The sequence below is a fragment of the Homo sapiens genome, chromosome 4 (genome assembly GCF_000001405.40).
Source record: "Homo sapiens chromosome 4, GRCh38.p14 Primary Assembly".
NCBI lineage: Eukaryota > Metazoa > Chordata > Mammalia > Primates > Hominidae > Homo > Homo sapiens.
In genome coordinates, this window is record NC_000004.12 from 145896358 (window position 1) to 145919909 (window position 23552).

General features: G+C 41.1%; 1 protein-coding gene across 16 annotated transcripts in view, besides 1 other annotated feature; it reads right to left on the reverse strand.

The window, feature by feature from the left end:
- ZNF827 (zinc finger protein 827) overlaps positions 1 to 23552 on the reverse strand; it is a 181197-nt gene that overhangs the window by 138731 nt on the left and 18914 nt on the right. For 13 of the 16 annotated variants that reach the window (XM_047449635.1, XM_017007768.3, XM_017007770.3 and 10 more), the window contains exon 2: positions 5809 to 6858. In XM_047449635.1, the coding sequence (XP_047305591.1) occupies positions 5809 to 6858 (1050 nt within the window). Of the gene's footprint in view, positions 1 to 5808; positions 6859 to 11982; positions 21975 to 23552 lie in introns of those variants that run through there. The other 3 variants (XM_047449634.1, XM_011531635.3, XM_017007769.2) reach the window with 3 other exon arrangements.
- Positions 8293 to 8452: an enhancer, noted in NCBI's record as "active region_21971". NCBI's record gives its function as "activates an Ori minimal core promoter by ATAC-STARR-seq in GM12878 lymphoblastoid cells {active_cell/tissue: GM12878}" and the evidence as "EXISTENCE:reporter gene assay evidence [ECO:0000049][PMID:35858748]".

Genomic DNA, 23552 nt, shown 5'->3' on the forward strand with positions numbered 1-23552 from the left:
TGGCTCACCTTAGACAAAATACTGATGGACAATCCAGCTCAGCAGGGAAAAAAAGAGACATGGAAAAGATAGAAAAGAGTGGAGGGAGGAATTGGCTGCAACAGGGCCTGGAAGTCCTTACCTTTGTGTCTCCAGCCCCCAAACAATGCCAGGTACAACATATAATTCAGTAAGTGTGTGTTAGACCGTAAGGAGATTAAATGAAAAAGGTTGGGTTAAGGGAATAGAGAGAAGTGAAATGAGGGCTAGAAATGAAAGGAAAAGACGCAGGAGGCTGCCAGTAAGTCCCAATGGAACTTGTGTTAGGACAAGAGTGTATGTATGCCTTTCACATAGTGCCCCAATACACATTCTAAATGAATGGATGGATAAACAGATAAATGTTCGTGTACTTAGACCTCAGCTATTTCCAAAAATGAACCTGGAGCAGCTTATATTAAAAATGCATATGGAATGACTACATCATTAATAAAGTACAGAGATATATGTTGAACCATTTATAATGAACAAGATCTGCCCAAAGCAGAGATGATCTTATGGGAGGTTTGATAGTGAATTTTAAGAAGCAACATATTAAACTCAAAAATTGGAAAAAAAAGAGTTTGTTTTGAGTTAATAAACAGAGTTTTAAAACACTGAGCTACAGTAGTAAATATAAGCAAGAAATTCTAAAACAGGAAAAGACCTTGGAGATCATCCAGCTCTGTTTACAGATGAGGATACTAAACTGAGGTAGTATGCTGAGAAGTCTCTCTACCAGTTAGTGGCAGAACTGAGATTACAGCTCATCTCTTCACTTCTGGTTTGCTGCTCTACCTATTGTCTATGCATAAATCCACAAAACAACAACAACAAAACTTCATTGGGCTAAAAAAAAATTTTTTTAAATCACGGAGGGTTGTAGTTGCTTAACTGCTTTAACACAAAGGTATTTTTAAAACAAATGTAACTGTTTTGTAGGCTTCGAAATCAAACTTCCTGTTGTTCAATCCTATGTGGTGATTTGCAGCAAGTCAATATAACTTGCAACTGGGTGGTTTCTGCGTATATACCTTACCATAAACTTAGGAGTTCAAGATGCCTGGTGACCCTGGATCTGCATAATCTGTGCATTATTACGGTCTCCATTCTGGACCTACTAACATTACCGGTACACATCTGTGTAGGATGACGACCTATCTTCCTTCCTAACAATACACATGGACTTTAAATCTTTTAACAGAATTTCTTTGTTATGTGTCTCAAATGCTATTTCATGGCAACAAAAAAAGCCTAGGTTAGCAATGGATGTCCCTGGGTTTATCTGTTATTATGGATGCTGACTTTATTAATGCCTATTTTAACTAGTAAATATTCAGAGAAGTCTGATATCTATAGCCATACTAAGTTTAAATCACTGCGAAAATACAATTGAGATTAATGACGGACAGTTCTAAAAATCTAGGTTAAAAAGTGAATTTTCTAAACAAGTTCATATATGGGATCATTCTCAGATTAAGGCTTATTGAGACTTATGGCCGGGTCCTGTGCTTCATGCCTGTAATCCCAGCACTTTGGGGGCCTGAGTAGGGTGGATCACTTGAGGCCAGAAGTTCGAGACCAGCCTTACTAACATGGCGAAACCCCATCTCTACTAAAAATACAAAAATTAGTCGGGTGTGGTGGTGCATGCCTGTAGTCCCAGCTTCTCAGGAGGCTCAGGCACAAGAATTGCTTGAACCCGGGAGGCGGAGGCTGCAGTGAGCCGAGATCGCACCACCGCACTCTAGCCTGGGCTATAGAGCCAGACGCTGTCACAAACAAAAGATTTATTATAATAACCACGGGCCTAATGGGAGTATCAGGAGAGGTGATCTCCCTCTCCGGACTTTGTATGCTTTTGCAATAATTTTAATAACATCACATAAATATTAAAGAAAACAGCAGCCAGAAACCCCCTATGTATTGACCCACAGGAAATATTCTTAGTTCTCAGCTGTATGAGACCAGGTTTGCTTCTAAGAATATTTACATTTTATTCAGTACAATAAGATGTTTTGGAGACCCTCTCTCTGAAACTCTCCCTGTTATTTCTTTTAAACAGGAGTCTGGCATCCTGGGAATCTTGTTGGCCTTCTACAAGAAACTTTGTCTTTAAAATAAAAACCATTTATTTTATTCTTAGCTGCAACAGAACAGTAGCTTCAAAGAGAATTCAGTCAATGTGTGACATTTATCTTTATAGCAAACGGACATAATCTTCCCTCTATCGTGTCCCCTTTCAGAGGAGCCGTGTAGCATGTGCTGGGGGCGCAGGGTCACATGAAAGAAACCTCCCCCTCAAGTGTCACGTCTCTCTTGCAGGGCGGAAAGGCTATCGAGTGGTGGACTCTTAAGGAATTAAATACACCATGACCTGGCAACCACTGAATCCTGTTCAAAAAAGAAGAATAAGGCCAAACCTAAAAGACAATTTTTTTTTCATGGTTTGGACTTCCCTTGACCTAAAGAAGGTCAAAGAAATGGTGGTGTCTAAATTACTCAAGGCGGGATCAGCTTTTCTAGCACATATCTCTTTGTAACTTAAGAATCAACTTTATATGCTTTTTTCTTGCGCATTTTGAGAAATCGCTTTTTAAAAATGAAAGCCCTGCCTGAAATCAGGATGGTGTGTAGTTTATTTTTGTGGCTTTTTGTTGTTGTTCTTGGGGGCGGTTATTATTTGTTTACTTAAGTCATTAGGCAACAGAAACTCTTTTCCCTGCTGTGAGAGGCCAATGCACCTACGTATTTTGAATTAAACTAAGATTTCCTTCTAAGGGAGAGGAAAGAATAATAATGACAAATGTTCCCATACAGGGGTGATGACTCTCACCACATTTCCATAATGCTTCTTAGATAAATCGAAGGTACATCCCAATCCAGCCCCAGGTGGCCCCCAAACCAACAGTATAATGTGTGGAAGGTGGGGGAGGGAGGGGGAGGGAAGAAAAGGGAGTTGGGGAGGGTAGAGGGGACAGATGGAGATGATCCACCTTTCCTTCCACTCCTCAGATGCCAAAATCAGTGATCCCCAGTAACACCAAATCATGTACCCATGATACAAAGACAAATAACAAAATTAGATACTCTGTGAACTCCTTATTAACCCATAATCTAGCTAGGCTGCTGGGAAGTGATGACATTCACTTTAACTGAAAAGAGTGAGGGCATCCCCTCTTCTGTTTCCAAGCCATGCAATAACAAACAGAACTTGAACGTAGGATGGGCCCACGTGGACGTATGGAATATTTTTCGGGTAACAATTTCAAGGACCCTCATTTTCTTGGCAGTGATCTTTCCTCATGCATGAGTTTTACAAAATGAAAGATTTTTTAAATAAAATTACTCTGCTGATGAAGCTGCTTCTTCAAGTCTTAGACTGAACAGAGGCATGTTGAAATGGGAGAGTTGGGGTGGGGAGGCCTTAGGTACAAGTCAATCAGCACAGGGTTCTATAACCCAAAGCTGAGAAGTTCCTTTCCCTCCTCTTTCAGTTTGAACATTCTGAACATCCCTTGATTAAAATATTAAGTGTTTCAGCAATATAATAAATATAGTAAAAAGCAAAGTAAGAAACGATTTCTTATAGATCTCCCATATTCAATTATTCTGAGAACCCCACTGAGTTGCTGGCATAGATTAAGTGTATTTAAACCAAAAAGGAACATAGCTTTTCCCTTGGGTGTATTTCCCACAACAAAACAAACAAAAAGTCTACCATTCACTGGAAGCTCATGACCTCTTTCTCATCTTTACATGTATCTGGTCGTTTGAGTGAAAAAAATTATATTCACAACCATTGCTGGTTATACCGGAGACTTCAATATGACAAAGCTGCTACAGTCTGGGCTTCAGGAAACATGGTTTTATCAGTCACTTCTTTCCAAGTCTTCAATCAACTAAAGTTTATTATTAACTTTGCATAAGCTTTCCCAACTAACAAATGTCCAGATGAATTGTATACTAGAAACGCCATTCACACATTTATTCAATAACTAGATATGCAGAATATACATATATATAATTATTATTTTCTTTTTTTTATTTTTATTTTTTTGAGACAGAGTCTCATCCAGGCTGGACTGCAGTGACACGATCTCAGCTCACTGCAACCTCTGCCTCCCGGGTTCAAGCAATTCTCCTGCCTCAGCCTCCCAAGTAGCTGGGATTACAGGCGCACACCACCACGCCTGGTTAATTTTTGTATTTTTAGTAGAGACGGAGTTTCACCATATTGGTCAGGATGGTCTTGACCCCCTGACCTCAGGTGACCCACCCGCCTTGGCCCCTCAAAGTGCTAGGATTACAGGTGTGAGCCACTGCGCCCGGCCTAAAATTTTATTTTATATACAGCCATACCTCTCTTTCTACTGCTATCCCTAAATGAAATTTCTATAAGTCAGGAGTGATTTTTTCCATCGTAGAACTACCCCAGCCTCCTTTGCTCTTCTCCTTGTTTCCTAATTTTACCCATTTCTCTCCTTATTTCACCAGATGGCAGGTGAGAAGAGAGGAGAAGTGGAACTTAGAATTGACAACATCCTAGGATTTTACTGACATTTCAGAAACTCTGGAGAGAACAGTTTGGATCACCAAGAGTCATAAAAGTCCCAGATACCCATTTTCCTCGTTGTCTTCTGCTGTTGACTCAAGTTTTGAAGTACTTATAATTAGTGAATATAGCTCACTCAGCCATTTAAATGGAAATTTGTCATAAATGCATCAAATTGACATTAACTGTGATCGTTCCGTCAATTATTTGCCATTCCAAACCCTCTTCATCATTGTTGCTGAAAATAATCAAAAGTTGGCTAGACACACACGATGGCAATGTTTGTACCGATGAGGATGCACATAGCCTACTTCCTGCTCCAGTCTGGCAGGATATCCTTAAGAGACATCTGAAACCCCAACACGCATCCCAGGAACGTGTATTTATCATGTACACAATTTTAAAGCAAACCAGAACAAGAAATGGTGTTTCCACTGTGAGAATTCAAGTGACTAAATTTCTCCCTCAGATGAATAATTGTGAATGCTAAGGTCCTATATGACAGCGATTTCTCCTTTGGAAAGACTGCCTCCACTAGAAAAACCTTAGGATTCAAATTTTCCACATGCACATTCCTTCAAAATTGGATTGGATTTGAATTAAATAAAGCATTCACAGGAAATGTGTTGATTATGTTTGATTGACAATCTTTTTGAGTTCTTATAGGACAAGAAATTGTAGGAGAATAGGATACGTGAAAAGGGCTTAAATTCCACAAAAAGTAATAAAAATGCTAACATAAAAGTATATGGTGTGATAAATTAGGGCAGAGTAGTTCCTGATTGTACAAAAGTCCATTTGTGATGGAGGCAGCAGGAGTGTGGGCTCTCCCTTGTCCACTATTTCAAAAGCAGTGGGTTTTTTTCCCCTTATGTTCAGTGATGCCATGCACTCCATGACAAAGATGCTTTGATCTTCTCCCATTAAATATATCTTGTATGGACCTAGCCTGAACTTAGTAAGAAAAAAAAATCATTTGTATGAAAGGGAGGGAATGCTGTATGTCTCTAAGATTATTCATTACCTTTCAAAAGTGAAGCTATTTGTGAAGTCTTTGTGTAATACGTACATGAAAGACTACTATGCTGCTTACTTAAAGTATTTTTGTTGTGCTCTTGCTTTTTTATTCCTGCCTCAGATCAGATGGGGAACCCAACTGAAAAAAGCAATGAATAAGACATCGCAGTTTATAGTCTAAAGGACTTACACGATGATTGAAAGAAAAGATGCCATACCTGAATTGGAGGGTTTAGAAACTCTTCCCTTAGGAACTGGGAGTAATAATAATTCCAGGGATTGTGGTGGTGGTGGTGGAGGTGGTGGAGGTGGCGGTGGAGGTGGCGGAGTGACTTTTTCTGGTTTCTTCTCTGAAGGCGGGGGCGGTAGAGGGTCCTCAGGCAGCAGCGATGATTTCTCAGCCAGAAGACTGCCCGCAGCCCTTGCGGCCACCTCCTTCAGAAGGGCCGCTGAGGAGGTCATAGAAGCCAGGGAAAGGAAGGAGCTGGCCGGTGGAGGGTGCTCCTGACCAGGAGTCAAACTTCTTTCACTGACCTTCTTGGACAAAGCGGCCAAGGTAGAACTGGCAGACTGGGAGCTAAAAGGGGAGGAAAAGGACTCAAATCGCATGGTCTCCTCAGTCCTGGTGAGAGATTTGTCCTGCAGAACGGCATTGGCTGCAGCTTTCAGTTTTAGGATGGCTGAATCCGGAGACAAGCTGCAGGTGGTGGTTGAGTTTGGCAACCACTTACCTTGATTCCATATAAAACGGTTACTTGGAGTGTATTGGTCATTCTGTTCCTGCTTCTCGGCCAACTTCCTGGCCAGAACACTGAGCTGCTGGGCGTGGTGGGAAGGCGGGGAAAAGGAGAGGTTCGAGCCAACGTTTACGGGGGACTCCACTCTGCCATTAGCCGTGGCTGCAGCATCGAGTTTGAGGGAACCAGCCTCCAGCAGCCGCCTCAAATTGCTGCTCAGGGGCTTGTTGGAGCCTGGGTCATCGTCACACAAAGAAGACACTCCCGGGGAAAGGTGATCTTGACACTGCAGTGAGTCTCGCAGGACCTCACTGTCCAGTGCCACCAGCTCCAACGTGTGGCTGCTGGGAGTCGTGCTTCCCAAGGAGGTGTCCGGGGACGTGGACTGCTCCTGGATCCGGTCCTCCAGAGACAACTTATAGTTCTCCTGGACTTCCCCATAGGATGCTTCTGACGGAGTCTCTGAAGAGTTTCCATACCAGTGTTCTCCTTCACTGAGCTCTCCCTCCGCCTCTTCCTGCCTACTAACATCTGGGGAGAATTAAGAAGATCAGGTTTACTCCCAAAGTGAACAATAAGTAAGTCTCAAGACATTCAAATGGAGGTGATGACATGCTTTCTCTTCCCTTCCACCCAAGAACCAAATGAAAGGTGGCAACAGCCTTAACAGAATGTCAGACAGACTTGGCAGAAGCCTGAAAAAAGTAAAAAATGCTACACAGGCAAAGGTAAAAACATACCCAAGTAGTCCAGATAAGTTGAAAGGGAAAAGAAGGAAAAAGAAAAATGGATCTGGTAAAGAGGTAATTGGATGAAGAAACTGCTATTTTCAGGGAATGGGGGGAAATGGAAAGAAGCCTATATCCTTGTGAAAAACCAGCACAGTATGTTTAGCACTGTGACAGAATGAGAGAGGCAGCCTGGCATAGTGGGACACAGACCGTGAGACACAGACAGTGGGAAGCGCTTCCCTACTTTCTAACTCCGTGACTCTAGGCAAGTCACTGAGCTGGTCTGAGAATCCACTTCCTCCAATATAAGATGCAATTCATTTTTTAAAAAGCTTATCAAAAATGTACATAATACCTGCTTAACTCACTTTATCAGTTGTTATAAAGCTTATATCATAATAAGCATGTGATCATGTTTTGAAAACAGTCAAGTACCGTATAAAATCAGATTTCATTAGCAAACACTACTCACATTTCTGGCTTCTGACTGTGACAGTACCTCCCATGTTATGCATGCTACCTATTTGAGGGTCCTCAACTCCAGTCATCAACATGCTTGCCATATTATCACAGGCAGCGGTTAGGAATGTGTTCCCTCCCTCCACTAAGAGTGTCTTTTCATTATTTTCTATTTATCGATCCACCACTACCACTCCCATGACACTCTCATGCACCAGTTAGGCAGGCTCCTTGCCATTCTAGGGGCATTCATGAGCCCTGCCACTTTTCTACCTTTTCTCACGATATTCCTTCCATCTCAAATGTCTTTCCCCAGAAAAGCTGATTGTCCAATTCTACTTACCCTTCAACACCCGACTCAAAGGTTTCTTCCTTACAATTCTCCCTGGAACTCTCACTCAGAATGAACAAAACTAAGATCCTGCCTTCTTGGAGCTTACATTCCAGTGGGGGAAGACAAGTGTCAAACAAAATTAATAAATGGGTAAATAACATAGCATGCCAGAGGGTGATAAGTCCATGGAAAACCACATAGGGCAAGACAGGGAGGATGGGGAGTAATGGGTGGGAAGAGAGCTGCAATTTTAAACAGGTGGTCAAGGTGGAGCTTCACAGAAGTGGTGGCATTTCAGCAAAGCCTTGGAGGAAGTGAGAAACTGACCATGCAGAGGGAGAGTCACTGTGAAGGCCCTGCTGTGGGAACATGCCTGGCACGCCCATGGAACAGCACTGAAGCCAGTGTGCATGGGGTGCAGTGAGTGAGGTCAGAGCAGTGCCATAGGAGGTCAGAGAATATCATGAGTCAGTGTGTGTTGGCATGTGTATGAGAGTGTGTATGCACGTGTGTGTGTGTGTGCGCGTGTGTGCACATGCACTGTGGTGCAGGAGTGGGGTCACACAGATCTACAGGACGTTGTGAACTGCAGAAAGGTCTTCTGAATTTGGCAAAACTGGGTACCACTGGAGGGTTTGTGGCAAGCGAGTGTTATGACATGACTTATGTTGTCAAAGCATTGTTCTGGCTGCTGTGTGGAAAACAGACTTCAGGTACAAGGATGAGCACAAAGAGGCCAGCTAGGAGGCTAGGATCCAGGTGGGGATTATGAAGGCTCAGCTCAGGACTGCAAGGCGTGAGAAGTGACTCAATTAGGTGCATATTTTTATTGCAGAGCCAACATTCTCATATTTTGTTTACATTGGTTTTATATTACTCTAAATTATCTGTCTGCTGTTGGCTTCCTTCTAAAGTGGTGCTCCTAGAGGGCAGGAATTGTATTTTATTATCTACATATTCCACACTGTGCCTAGCACAATGTCTGGTCCCTAGCAGAGTTCAATGTATGTGTAGGGATTGAGCCAAAATCCCTCCTTGTGCCAAGTTTTGCCATATAGCATGCTGTTTCTTTTTGAAATAGAAGTAACTAGAACTAGTAATGCATGAACCATACACTAATACATTGATCTTCCCATGCTATTTAGAGAAGAAATGTCACAAATGACAAATTCTCTTTCACGAAGCTAAAATTCTGCAACTCCTTCCTGAGATTCTTTATTAAGTTATCAAGAAAATGTAAAATATCAAATGGAATTTGCTGGGAAAAAAAGCAGATTAAATTGAATTTTCTCTGTTAAAAACAGTCTGGTTCTTTGTGATCTGCCACATTTCCTCCTTCCCAGTTGATTTTAACATTTTTCATCTTTCCTGAAATTGGCGGCGACCCTAAACTCATCATTTCCCCAGTGGCTTCTTGGAGAGATGCTTTTTACCAAACACCAAGCAGTCAACATCAATTTCAACAATAGGGCTAATTTTATGTTTCTTTGGCAAACCACCTTTCTTGATTTCAGATTAAACATCTCATCCTTCAGTAGAATCACATAGGAAGTATCCTATAAATAGTAAGTCAAAAGTTTAAAAATCCCTACAGTAAGAATTTGTTGAATATCTGCTCAAATAATCTTTTCTTTAATCTTTATTATTAAATGAAGTACACTCATTAAGTGAAGTAACGGGAAAATATATTATTCAAATTTAAATACTTTTAGGTCATATGTGTGTCATACCAGAGGAGCTCAAGATAGTCAAGAATGGTTCCAAACTAATGCAGTAGGGTCACCTAACAGCATACCTAAAATCTAGGTTTTGAGAACCACAAGAAGTTACAACCACACATCAAATCTTGTCATTTTACTCAGACTATTAAATACGTTAAGTAAAGGTTACTGGCTGAATCAAAGACACACGACCACGTAGAGCTAATGCAGAAACCAAGAACCCCAAATCTCTCAGCTGGCCCAATGCTTCTCTGCAAGGTTCCACTGCACAATCTGCAGACAGAACCGCTGAACGACGACTTCTAGAGAGCTCTGAGCAGCTGCTCACCCGCTTTCCATTCCCCCATCCTTCCTGCCAACCTCTTGAATCAGAAATCAGCAAGGGATTCTCTTAGATAAGGACAGTATTCACTCTTTATCTTGAGATAAATCATTAAGAGGTGAACACTCATTATTCCTGTACTCTAATCTCTTCATTCCCATTCTGCCTCTTCTTTGTTGGAGTCGGTCAAAAGGAGATTCAAATGCCTAAAGAATTTAGCACTTCTACTGGCAAAGTCCCAAAAGCAAAGCTTAATTTCCTAACCCCCTCCACACCCTCAGTGAGCAAGAATATTCCCCCTCCAAACGTGCTGAAACAGGTGAGTGTGCAAACAGGTAAGTGTGCCAAAGGCTAAAGAAACTGTCAATTCAGGTTCTAATCCTACCAAGCAGTGATAAAGATGTCTGAACCTTCTTGAAAGATACAACAGCTAATGTCTACATTTAAAGCAACTTTCCTAACTTGTCAAAACACAAACTCAAAATAAACAAGTGAATAAACAAAGTATTTCTTAAACAGAACTGTTTGTGGCTCCTAAAATGCCTAGATAATTTCTCAACCATCCATCCCTCTGTTGTTTGCAGACTCGATCACTGAGATACACACACCTCTGGACTGCAAGAAAACTTGGATGCATGAAGAGTATCTCTTAAATTCATAATACTCTGTTAATCACTTTTCTGAAGATGCTGCTACTGAAATTGAGGTTATTCAAGAAATAAGTTACCATATAATTTTAATGCATGGCATAGAAAGAGAAAGAGCAGAAACTTGAGGAGAAACATAGCTGAAATTATTCTGGCAATACCTGAGGTTAAATAAATGGTGAGAGGAGCTTTGGGAGAAATGAATGCAAGAAAATGAGGATGTGCAGAGGGTGGGGAAAAATTATAAGAAGCTCAAACAAATATGTCTGTGTTCACAAAACAGCAAGGATTTTCTCCCACTTTTTTTTTCTTCTTTTTTTGCCTGCTGGGCTCCTCTATTTTCATGTCCAATCTCATAATGGAGGAGTTCTTGAATGTTGCAGTGGTCTAGCTATGGTGAGCTCTCCTTCTGCAGAGTGTACGACAACCTGCACCTTTCCTAGCCTGGAATTTCCTTTCACACTACATCGTGAGAAAAAGTTCTCTCATTGTGGAGCTCAAAACAAAGCATTTTTTTAAATCTAGAAGATGAATTTGCTGGACACAACAAACTTTAGAACATGCAAGCCTTGACTTTTGTGTCTCTCTTTCACAATCTGAGAAGTCTCAGGCAGCAAGACACCTCCATTTTCCAGTCTGCCAACCAGCGCAGACTCTTCACATGGTCACAGAGCAGCACTGCACAAGCCAAGGTCCTGGAAGTGCTTCCTGCGGTACAGTGACCGTGGATTTCACAGCTTTCTTAACCAAGGCTTCCCGGGGAAGCCTCTAAGTGGCCAATGTAAATAACTTCCTTGTAAATACATTATTTTTAACCTCCAGAGAAGAAAGCTATTTCCATTGCTAATTTTACAACAACCTCTGTCTCTGACTGTCAGGTTCACACTCATTCTTGTCAATTTTACACAACAGTCTGTTTTTGTGTGTGTTTTCCCTTTAAATCAGAAACACAAAGAATTAAGAATAGCAATGGTGCAATTACAGAATGAAAATATGCTGAATAAATTTTGTTTCCATGTGGCGAATATTTCTCCTTTGGGGAAAACAAAACAAAATTCCACTACCTAACACATTTATTTATAATTCAGTTCTCAAGCAGCAACTCAGTAACTTGATATCTACAACTCTTGCTGCATTCTCGGTAGAGAATGTCTTTTCAACTCACTTCCTTTTTGGTTTGACAGTTTTAATCAGATGCATTTAATTGGACCAATATACATCTCAGAGCATCCTCGTTCAGAAAGATTGTGAGTGCACAGTGAAAAAAATATATAACAAAGAGACACCTATTAATTTTCAAGCTTTTTGGTTTAAGCAAGTGGGGAAGGAAGCCTAAAAGTCCCATTTCTAAATCTACTCGCAAACTATTCCCACCAGTCAGTCCATATGAGTCTAGCCAGCAGGTTTTAATGAGAACAGGACTTGAATTCTTAGGACTCACCTGGCATAGGATTGGAGAGATGCTTTCTCACGGTCAACTCTCTAACAATCAGTGTCTCCAACACTCTCTTCTTGTGACCACAGGTATGTTCACCTGGTACCTACCAACCAACCTTCTGGTTTATTTTCATGTAAAAATCTTGTAAGTTTTCCCTTTCCTACTAATACACTTCTATAGCTAAATATCTAATGCCTTTTAAGATCATACATTTCCATTAGCATTATCAGTTATACTCATAATAAGTGCTGCAAATCATACAACCAACTTTTACATGCAGTTTTACATAAAAGTAGTTTGTAAGTTTACTACAAAAGTTATTAGCAAAACCAGTGCTACTAATTGACTTAATTCAACAAGCATTTACTGATCACCTACTATGTTCAGGGAACTGTTCCCTGCAAAGGGAAACAGAGACACAACAGTCTCTGGCATAAAAGTTTCTAATCAACAGAAGAGTGAGGGTTTCACAAGCATTCAAAGCATAATGACTGGTGCCACCATACAGAAACAGCAAGGGTTGTGTAAGCACAAAAGAGGGAATAATGAACTCCAGAGGTGCAGGTGGCTTTGGAAATGGACCTCAAAGGATGAGGGCGATTTTAATAGTAGACAAAAATTCATTAACAAGCAGCCTTGCTCCTCAGCAAATTATCAAAAAGGAAATATGCCAGTCATGGAGAAAGCTAATATTCAAGTGATATATGTTGGATAAATTAACCCAATGAAAAAATTGTATATTTTTATAAAATACACTATCTTCACATTTTAAAAATATACTATTGATTTGTCAAAGGTAGACCTTACCAACTATTTTACCATACTCACTAGTTTTGAAATCAAACTATTACATTATAAATACCTGGAGGCAAGGCTATGAGTTAGTCATTTTTGTGTTCCTTCTTGATTCCCTGCTCATAGTAGGGGTATCTGGGCTCCTGTGGTTGTAAATGACAGAAAACCAGCAGGACCGCATGAAGCAATAAGGGAATTTTCTCAGTTCCTGTACCAAACAATAAAAGGGGCACAATGGAGCCAGCATCAGATAGGATGTCGAAAGCACCATCAGGGCTCTCTCTCATTCGCCTCTAGTCTCTTCCTCTCAGGCCACTTTTCCCAGGAGGCTGAAAACCTGGCTGCAACCGGTTCTGGGTTTTCACTCTCAATGACTTCCCACTAGAGAAAGGTCTTTACGCCTCTGATTGGCCTGTTGGAGGTCATGTTCCCCTCCATGGGCCTATCACTGAAGCCAGGGGGCGGGTTCTACAATGGGCTCAATGTGGGTCACAGAAGAAAGGAGAGGGAAGAGGTATCAGGAAGACAAAAGCAATGACCTCTATAATGTTTAATAAAGGTTTCTTCTGCCGCATATCAGGCTGTTCTGAATCAATTTTATGATGCTAAGCATAAAACACATCCGCATTTAGGCCGGTTTTACTTGCCAAGTTTTAAATTGTCCCTTTGTAGCCTGAGAGCCTTAGCACATCCCCCACACCAGGTCTGCCTGAAACTAAGAGACCTCTCGCGTCTTCAAGGCTCCAAGTCCACAGTCTGAGGTAAATGCACGGCCGGCAATGGGCTTCACAGGACAGAGACTCGGAGATTACAGTTATCGAAACACGGATGTCCAGGACACCCAACCGCTGTCAGCGTGCCCAGGAAGAAAATGTAAGAACTGCTAGTTATTTAAAACTGCCAGGGTGCAGAAGACAACCAGATTCCTGTCACCAGTCCAGCTAGGGAAAAGGTGCTGCAAAGGCATGAGGAAGTGAGAGGAAGTCTGGAGACGAGAGTAGTCCACACACGGGGGGAGGGAGGGGCTCCTGGGTCAAGACGAGCATTTGGCACACAGCAACATTTTCAAATCATTATTCTAAATGACCGTGAGTAAAATAAAGGTAACACAAATGAACGCATCACTCCTCTGCAGAGTGAGTTCGAAAAAGTAGCTAAGTCAGTTTCAGTATTCTTCATATAAAGTGCTTAGCCAGACCTTCCATGGCCGAGGAACTGCCCGTGTTCCTCCCTCTACCTGCCCGTCTCAGCAGGAATGGCAACTCCTCCATCCTTTCAATTACTTAGACCCAAAACCATGCCACCTCCCTTGACTCTTCTCTTTCTCTCAGACCCCACATCCAATTCATTCTCGGATTCCGTTGGTTCTACCTTCAACAGAGGTACCAAATCTGGCCACTTTGCACCATTTCCACCACTACTACTAACCTGGTACCCAGTGCTGTCATCCCCCACCTGTACTATGGCAGTAGCCTTCCAACTGGTCTCCTCACTTCCCAACCTTGCTCCATTATTCTCAACCAGCAGCCAAAGTAAGTTCTCAAACTTCCACAATGGTTTCCCATGTTTCTCAGTATAAAATACAAAACTCTTACCTGAACCTCAAGGCATCCCTAATCATCTCCTTGTGACCTCCTCTCCTAACACTCTCCCTTACTAGGAAAATAAGCTCCTGCCTCAGGGCCTTTGCAATTGCTCTTCCTCTGCCTGAAACAGCCACATGCTTAATTCCCCTAATTCCTCAGGTCTGCCCTCAAACCTCACTGTTTTTTAGAATACAAGCTCCGAGGGAGGACTTTATTTTGGTTGCTGCTGCATCCTCGGCATTTAGGTTGGTACTGAACACAGAGCAGGCAGTCAATTATTATTTGTCCAATGCATAAATGAAATGGAAGAATAGGCTGAACAATCATAAAGGTAACATCTGTCAGTGATGGAAATAAGAACTATTTTCAAAATTGTAAATTAGAATGCTATTTTTCTCATGTGAGTCAAACATGGAACAGGGAAAAAGCCTGTTTTGCAAACTTTTCCACCAGTTTCCCCAAAGGCCAAGAAAGAACAACACTGCAGGGGAACTTGGTATTAAAGTCGCCGCCCCCTCTAAGAAGCCCCAACTTTCTTTGAGTTTTAGCTTAACATTTCAAGTGACTTCTGCATTCCACTCTATAAACAGCTGTGCCATCAAGGAAACTTTATTCTCTAGAAAGATGCAACCTGTTTCTCCAGGTACCGACATGCTTTGGAGAAACATGTACCGTGTTTGTAGAAGCAAGAATGTATAAAAATATCTAGCACAATGCCAAGAGCTCAATAATGGGTGACTATCATTATTACTGCTATTACTAACCAGAAAACAGTACTAGACCTATTAACCCCACTTTCAAAGACAAAAGCAAAGGCGCAGAGGATAAAGTAACTTGCCAGTATAATACAATTAATCTGTACGATATCAAAAACTATTCATTATACTTGAAGTTTGTTATATGAATTATTTTACAGATGGAAAAGCCTTGGAAATCTACTCTATATGACTAGTCTCTAGTTAGAGGCCTAGAGAGGGCCATAGATTTGCCCAAGGTCCCCTAGATGATTTCCAAACATAGGCAGTGCTTGAGCTCAGATGTCCCAATACTACTAAATCATGGTACTTTTCAATCAGCATTAAGTGAATGAATGAATTCTAGAACAAGCCACTGCATACAGTAGGCTCCCAATAAACATTTGTTGAATGAATGAACAATCATGAAAACACATCTGGAGCTATGATAGATGTTTTCATATTCATCAGCAAATTTCATCCTCACAATAATTTTATATAGGAAACCAAACTTTTCATTTTACAGACCAAAAAACCCAAGTTCCAAAAAGTTAATGGCTTACACAACATGCATGCTTACTGAGTGACAAAGCCAAGTTGAAACCCAAATATTCAGAACATCTGACAATATGTGAGGAGCTTGACAAAAGAATAATTTTTCAGGTAACCAAAAATTATCAAAGTGCCATCAAGTACGCAATATTTTCAAAATTTAATTTGATGGGATTTAAAAGTGCACACACACTCAAACATAATATGTTGATGCTGTTATTATGTTTGTTATATATAAATGTGTTTCAGGAGCTACTGGAACTTTTCAGCAGTTTGTCCCTCCATTGAGTGGCCCAAAGCAACTATGTATTTTAAGTTCTTATTCCTACTTTAATAGTCTTTTTGAATACTTTTGTTCTCCATTATATCCTCAGCAGAGACTCTTTCTCCTATACTTATAACTCTTTGTATGCATAAACTGAGATAAAAATCACCAGGCTTATTAAAACTGTGTACAAACTTGGAATGAATACCTAGTATCATGAGTTGAATTGTGTTCTCTCAAAAGATATTGAAGTTCTAACCCCCAGTACATGTGACTGTGACCTTATTGGGAAATAGGCTTCTGCAGATAATCAAGTGAAGATGAGGTCATTGGGGTGGACTCAAATCCAGTATGACTGGTGTCCTTATAAAAGGGGGAAATTTGGATGCAGAGACACACATGCACACAGGAAGAACACCATGAGATGAGTTATGCTATCATAAGCCTAGAAACTACCAGAAGCTGGGCGAGAGGTCTGGAACAGACCCTTCCCTACCGCCTTCAGAGCGAGAGTGGCCTTGTGGACACCTTGAGCTCAGACTTTTAGCCTCCAGAATTGTGAGACAATAAATTTCTGTTGTTTAAGCACTGGTTTGTGATACTTTATTACAGCAACCCAAGAAAACTAATATAAGTATATTTGGATGAAGGCCTGAGGCATTTTTCCTGAATTTGTTCACCTCTGGATTCTCAACTATAGCCTCAGTTTGTAATGTAGTTTTTGTAATAAGCTGGATATTATTACATAAAACCGACCACATTGCTGATCAGTGTTAAGTCCTGTGAGGCTGGAAGGACTATGAGTGGACTAATAAATTTTTGCTTATCTCTCAATTTTACTCAAATTTCTTTCAAATGAAAGGTTTAAAAAAATAGGCCAAGCATGGTGGCTCACACCTATAATCCCAGCACTTTTGAAGGTCAAGGCTGGCGGATCACTTGAGCTCAGGAGTTCAAGACCAGCCTGGGTAATATGGTGAAACCGCATCTCTACCAAAAATATAAAAATTAGCCAAGTGTGGTGGTGCATGCCTGTGGTCCCAGCTACTCGGGAGGCTGAAGCAGAAGGATAACTTGAGTCCAGGAAGCAGAGGTTGCAGTGAGTCACGACTGCACCACTGCATTCCAGCCTGGGCAACAGAGTGAGACCCTGTCTCAAAAAAAAAAAAAAAAAAAAAAGACATTACCAAAAGAGGCCTTCCCTTACTAGGGCTACTTAGAGATATCCAAACAAAAAGATATACTCATCCTTACATCCTTACTCACGTTTCAGCAAATTAATAACAAAATTTTTCTTTTGTTGAAAAGATAGCTTGAATTTACTCACCAAAAGGCCAATCTAAAGACCAAAATGGGACTGGTTAGTCCACGGATTGATTACTTGCTCCCTTACCCTTTCATGCACCTCTTATTACAAAAGGCACATAGAATCTGTCCCCTCAAGCAATCAGAAGTAAATTTACCATGGCTACCACATCGTTATCAGAAAAATTGTCTGCTAAGGCTGATAAATCGGTTGATTATCTGCTTCCTTGACTTTTATTTCTTTTTGTATAAATGTTTTCATTTTAACATTACCAATACTTCTTAGAAGATCAGTAATAAATTACCAAACTACTGAAATCACCAGGAAGTCTTTACTAGGTCAAAGAACCTAAACAAAAATGAACACCCCCAATAGCCCTAACCATATAACAATGCATTCTACAGTCTAAGAAATAGCATTCTATGGATAGATAAATGACTACTTATCAAAATCTTAGCTTATACATAAAATGATACATTTCTTTGTAGACACACACACACACACACACACACACACCAAGAGCATTGGCATGATGTACCTTGTAATAAACATATTATAGTCATCATCATTCTGTCTGCCAAAGAAAAACTTCATACAGTAAGTCCTTTACTTACTAAAAATATACATATATCCAGAAAGAAAAGGGCCGTGGGAGACAAGAGACTTAGCAAGGGAAAAGAGACAAAATAGATTTTTATTTAGTGCTTAAATACGTATAAAACAAAAGCTGCAAGGAGGCAGCTTCCCCTAACGCGCCCCCTGCAACCCACCAACACATTCACAAAATGATATTGGTGCAATTTATTGTATGAGAATATTTTTTATCAGTTATGCACAAGAATCCATGAGAGCAAAGGACAATCCATTTCAAGGACAGCCCTAACTCAAAGTTAACTTTAAACACTGATTTAGGCCAACAGTTTTAACCTTTACTCCTACTAGGCTTTGTGCCAGGGCTGCTATCAAGTGGTCAAATGTATTCTTATTCCTTGTCTCCTTTTATTTTCCCTGCCCACCTTCTGGTACACACAGAAGTCAACAATAGAGAGCAAAAAAACAACAACAATTAACAAAAACTGCAATCAACCAACAAGCTAAGGTAATTCCAAGGGCCAGGATACCCCACAGCTAAATTAACATTCCCTTAACAACTCAAGTCCAGTGGTTTTATCCATTTAATTCTCTTTGAAGAATCCTGAAGGTGTACCTTCCTTTCTTCTCAGGCATTCCTCAGGCATGCCCTTGGGGTTTTCACTAAGAGGGCTTTTCTAGATTTTTCACCTAAAAGAAATCCAGCACTGTTTTCTAGGGCTTTGTCACCAGCAGGGATGCTCCAGAGGAGCCATTCATTCCATCCCCAATAAAACTCGGATGCTTCTTGTCTTAGCTGATTTCGTGTTGCTAAAACAGAATACTTAAGACTGGGTAATTTATAAGGAACAGAAATCTACTACCTCATGGTTCTGCAGCCCTTGGGGCCACACGTAGTGCGTGTCTTCTTGCTGCATCATGACAACAGAAGGCATCCTGTGCTGAGAGAGAGCAAGAGCAAGAGATGGCCAAATTCACTTTTATAAAAACTCATTCTCTTGGCCGGGTGTGGTAGCTCACGCCTGTAATCTCAGCCCTTTGGGAGGCTGAGGCGGGTGGATCACCTGAGGTTGGGCGTTCAAGACCAGCCTGACCAACATGGAGAAATCCCGTCTCTACTAAAAATGCAAAATTAGTTGGGCATGATGGCACATGCCTGTAATTCCAGCTACTCGGGAGGCTGAGGCAGGAGAATCGCTTGAACCTGGGAGGCAGAGGTTGCCATGAGCTGAGATGGCGCCATTGCACTCCAACCCAGGCAACAAGAGCGGAACTCCGTCTCAAAAAAAAAAATCGCTCTCCCAATAACCAACACACTCCCGAGATAAGGATACTAATCTATTCATAGGGCAGAGCTCTCCTGACCTAATCACCTCTTAAAGGTTCCACCTCTCAATACTGTTGCATTGAGGATTGAGTTTCCAACATATGAATTCTGGGGGACACACTCAAACCACAGCATTCCACCCTTGGCTCCAAAAATTCATGTCCTTCTCACATGCGAAATATATTCATTCCATCACAATAGCCCCAAAAGTCTTAACTTCTTTCATCATCAACTCAAAAATCCAAACGTCCAGAGTCTAATCTAAATTAGATATGGGTGAGACTCAAGGTACAATTCATCCTGAGACAAATTTCCCTCCAGCTGTAAGCCTGTAAAATTAAACAAGTTATCCACTTCCAAAATACAATAGTGGGACAGGCATAGAATAGGCATTCTCATTCCAAAGGGAGACATAGGCAAGAGAATGGGATAACTGGTCCTGAGTAAGTCCAAAACCCAACAGGGAAAACAATATTACATCTTAAGATGCCAGAATAATCTCCTTTGACTCCATGTCCCCAATCCCCTGTACACTGGGGTGGGGGTTGGGCCGCCAAGGCCTCAGGTAACCCCACCCCAATGGCTTTGCTGGGTTCAGTTCATCCAAGGGTTGGTCTTGTGCCTGCAGCTTTCCCAGCCTGAAGCTGCATGCTCCCCTACTTCTACAGCTCCACTAGGCATTGCCCTAGTTGGGGGCTCCCTGCATCAGCTCTGCCCCTCAGAAAGTCTCTGCCTGGGCCCCCAGGCGGTCGTGAAATCTAGATGAAGGAAGCCATATGCCCACAGCTCTTGAATTTTGAGCACCTGCACACTTCTACCACATGAACATAGCCAAGATTTGCTGCTTACACCTTCCAAAGCTGTGACACCTGGGGTGAACTGGGGGCATGAGCCGTACGGGAATGTGGGGAGCAAAGACTTACAGCAGCCCTAGGCAGCAAGCCCAGTGTCTCAAGGGCACCCGAGGACTCTCTTTGGACATTTCCTTTCCCCAGGCCTTGGCACTCTGGGCCTGTGATGGAAGGGGAGCACTGGTGATTTCCAAAGTACCTTTGGGGTCATTCTCTCATCGTCCTTTGGTTTCCTTCTATCCATGTTAATCCCCTTATCAATCAATCAGTTCCTTGGCCACATCTATGGTTTCCTCTCCTGAAAATGTTCTTTCATTCTCTGCTACATGGCCAGGCTGAGAATCCTTCAAATTCCTCATTTCTGTTTCCCTTTTAATTATAAATTCCATCTTTAAATCATTTCTCTCCTCTCATTTTACTATATGAAGTTAATAGAAGCCATGTAGCTCCTTCAACATTTTGCTTAGAAATTTCTCTCAAGAGATACCCTAGTTGATGGCTCTTAAATTCTGCCTTCCTAAAAGCCCGAGGGTATGGACACAATTCGGCCAAGTTCTTTGCCACATCATAACAAGGATGGCCTTTACTCCAGTTTCCAATAATTCCTCTTTTCTATCTGAGATCTCATCAGAATGGCCTTTACTGTCCATATTTCTACCAACATTCCGATCACAGCCCTTAATTAATCTCTAAGAAGTTTCTTAGTTTACCACTAGCTCTCTTCTTCTGAGCCTTCACCAGAATTGCCCTTAATGCTCTGTTTATAACAACCTAGGCTTTTTCTAACCTGCTCCTCCAAATTCTTCTAGCATCTATCCATTACCCAGTTCCAGAACCACTTCCACATTTTCAAATATTTGTTACAGCAAGAGCCCCACTTCTTAGTACCAATTTTCTGTCTCAGTCCATTTTATGTTGCTATAACAAAACACGCACGACCAGATAATTTGTAAAGAACTGAAATGTATTGGGTTCACAGTTCTGGAGGCTGGGAAGTCCAAGATCAAGGGGCTGCATCTTGTGAGGGCCTTCTTGCTGCATCATAACATAGTTGAAGGTATCACTTGGAGACAGAGAGAGCAAGAGAGGGCCAAACTGGTTTTTGTTAACAAACCCACTCCCATGATAATAATATTAACCCAGCTATGAAGCCACAGCTTCTTAAAGTCCCTCTTGATTACCTCTTAAAGGCCCCATCTCTCAACACTGTTGCACTGGCAATTGTTTCAAACCCATGAACTTTGGGGAACACACTCAAATCATAGCACTTTGGAAAATGCATCAAGTGGTAAGATTGAAGTTTGGAAACATGCTCTACTGCTACTTTGGATAAGGCTCAACTCCAAGGTAGCTGGTCAAAAAAAAAAAAAAAAAAAAAAAAAAGAAAAGAAAAAACAACATTCATATGCCATTTCCTGGGAGTGACCACTTATATTATTCCTACATCAGTTCCTCTGGTTCTTGACCTTTTGGGTGACTGTTAAGTGCCCTAATTTTGTATTTGAATAAAAACACCACTTCTTTTTCACCTAAGAACTGTCTGCAGTTCTGTAGCTGCAACATTCCCACATATTATAAGAATTTCATTAACCAGCTTATCCTCCACCCAAAACTGGTATTTTAAAAGGAGAGTGAAAATATATTGGGCAATTTAAAGAAGTTATTTGAAACACACAAGTTTGAAAAGCTTTTGATATATTAGGTTGGGGCAGAAAGTAATTACGGTTTTGCCATTACTTTTAATAGTAAAAACATCAATTGCTTTTGCACCAATCTAATAAATTTGCTCAACTAATCAGGCTTTGTTTTAAATCTTTGTTTTGAAGTTACTTACAGAAAACCTAATTTTTAAGAAAAATTTCCACATTAATATCAGCAGTGGTAAATCCTACTTTATGCTTTGCGGGGCACATATAGTCTCTGTCCTTATATTTTGTTGTTGTTTTAAAGAACCCTTTAAAAACATAAAAACTATTCTTAGCTCAAGGCAAAAAAAAAAAAAAAAAAAAAAAAAAACTGGCTACAGTTTGCAGACTTCTGCTCTCCAGAACAGGTACTTTTTCTTTATATATAAAAAAAAAAAGCGGAATGGTGCTCTAAAACAGCGATGAGCTAAGATTGCACCACTGCACTCCAGCCTGGGCAAAAAAGTAAGACCCAGTCTCAAAAAAAAAAAAAAAAATTCCGATATATGGCAACAAGTTTCATCATCATCTTTTTAATCCAGCCACTTGTGTAAGTCATTGAGCACCTTTGTGCCTCAGTTTCTTCATCTATAAAATAAGGGGTTAGGATGGATCAGTGGTTTCCAAACCACACATAGAGGAAGCCTGGGGCTCTCGGGCAAGGTTGGGCTCTATGGACCCACCCCCAGCTCTCACCCCAGCACACACCCAGCCTGCACAGCCCTGCTTTGTCTTTGATCTTTTCTACATAGTGGAGCTCTCCATAAAGACAAGGAAGGGTTCCACCTATTTTGTTTTGTTTTGAAAGCCACTGTTTTAGATGACCTCAGGGATCCTCCTGGTGCAAATCCTCTATGAATCCACTTTGGGTCATCAGTCATTATCCAATCATCTTACTGGGGACTAAGTGTCAGGTAAATAGAAATGATTTAAAATCCTATATTGAGCCAGGCACAGTGTCTCACACCTATAATCCCAGCACTTTGGGAGGCTGAGGTGGGGTATCACTTGAGGCCAGGAGTTTTGAGACCAGCCTGGGCAACATAGCAAGACTCCCATCTCTACAAAAAGTTTAAAAATTACCCAGGACTGGTGGCATACTCTAGTACCAGCTACTTGGGAGGCTAAGGTGGGAGGATCACTTGAGACCAGTAAGTGGAGGCTGCAGCTGATGATCACACAACTGCACTCCAGCCTGGACTATAAGAGTTAAGATCCTGTCTCAAAAATTAAAATAAAAACAAATCCTATATTGAGTATTTAAAAGAGGAGAGGCAAAAACAAGAAAGATCTTATCCTAAGGGACCACCCGTACTTGTTCAGATTTGTGGAAATTCACTGGACAGCCAAATCAAGAGAGTTCCCAAGTCCCACATATACTCATGAAAGGGAGAGCTCATTCCTGCATCACTCTGCTTAGAGCACTGGGAAAAGCAGAATGCTTTAGCAAAGGAAGGACCACTGAGCTGAGACTCAGAGACCTGGTTCCACTTTGAATTTGGAATTTACCAGCTATATAACTTCTGATGTTTATTTAACAAAAATTGAAAACCCTACTATAAACAAGCTCTTAGACATGGTATGAGGAATACAGTGATGAACCAGAAATATGAAGAATGCTCTGTCCCCCACTACTGAAATCCATCATCCATAAAGTAGGGTATTAATACTGCTCTCTCTCCCATACATGGTGGTCCTGCCAAGATGGCCAAGTACATGTAAACTGCAAAGCATGGATAACATTAAACCAGAAACCTGTAGATTCTCCTCCTTTTAAGTAAATAAATATAATCAACTCCAACAATTCACTAATATTGGTGAAATAGGGCCACAATAAGTTTTGTATAGCAGAAAATCTATTTATACAGCATGAAACAGCAT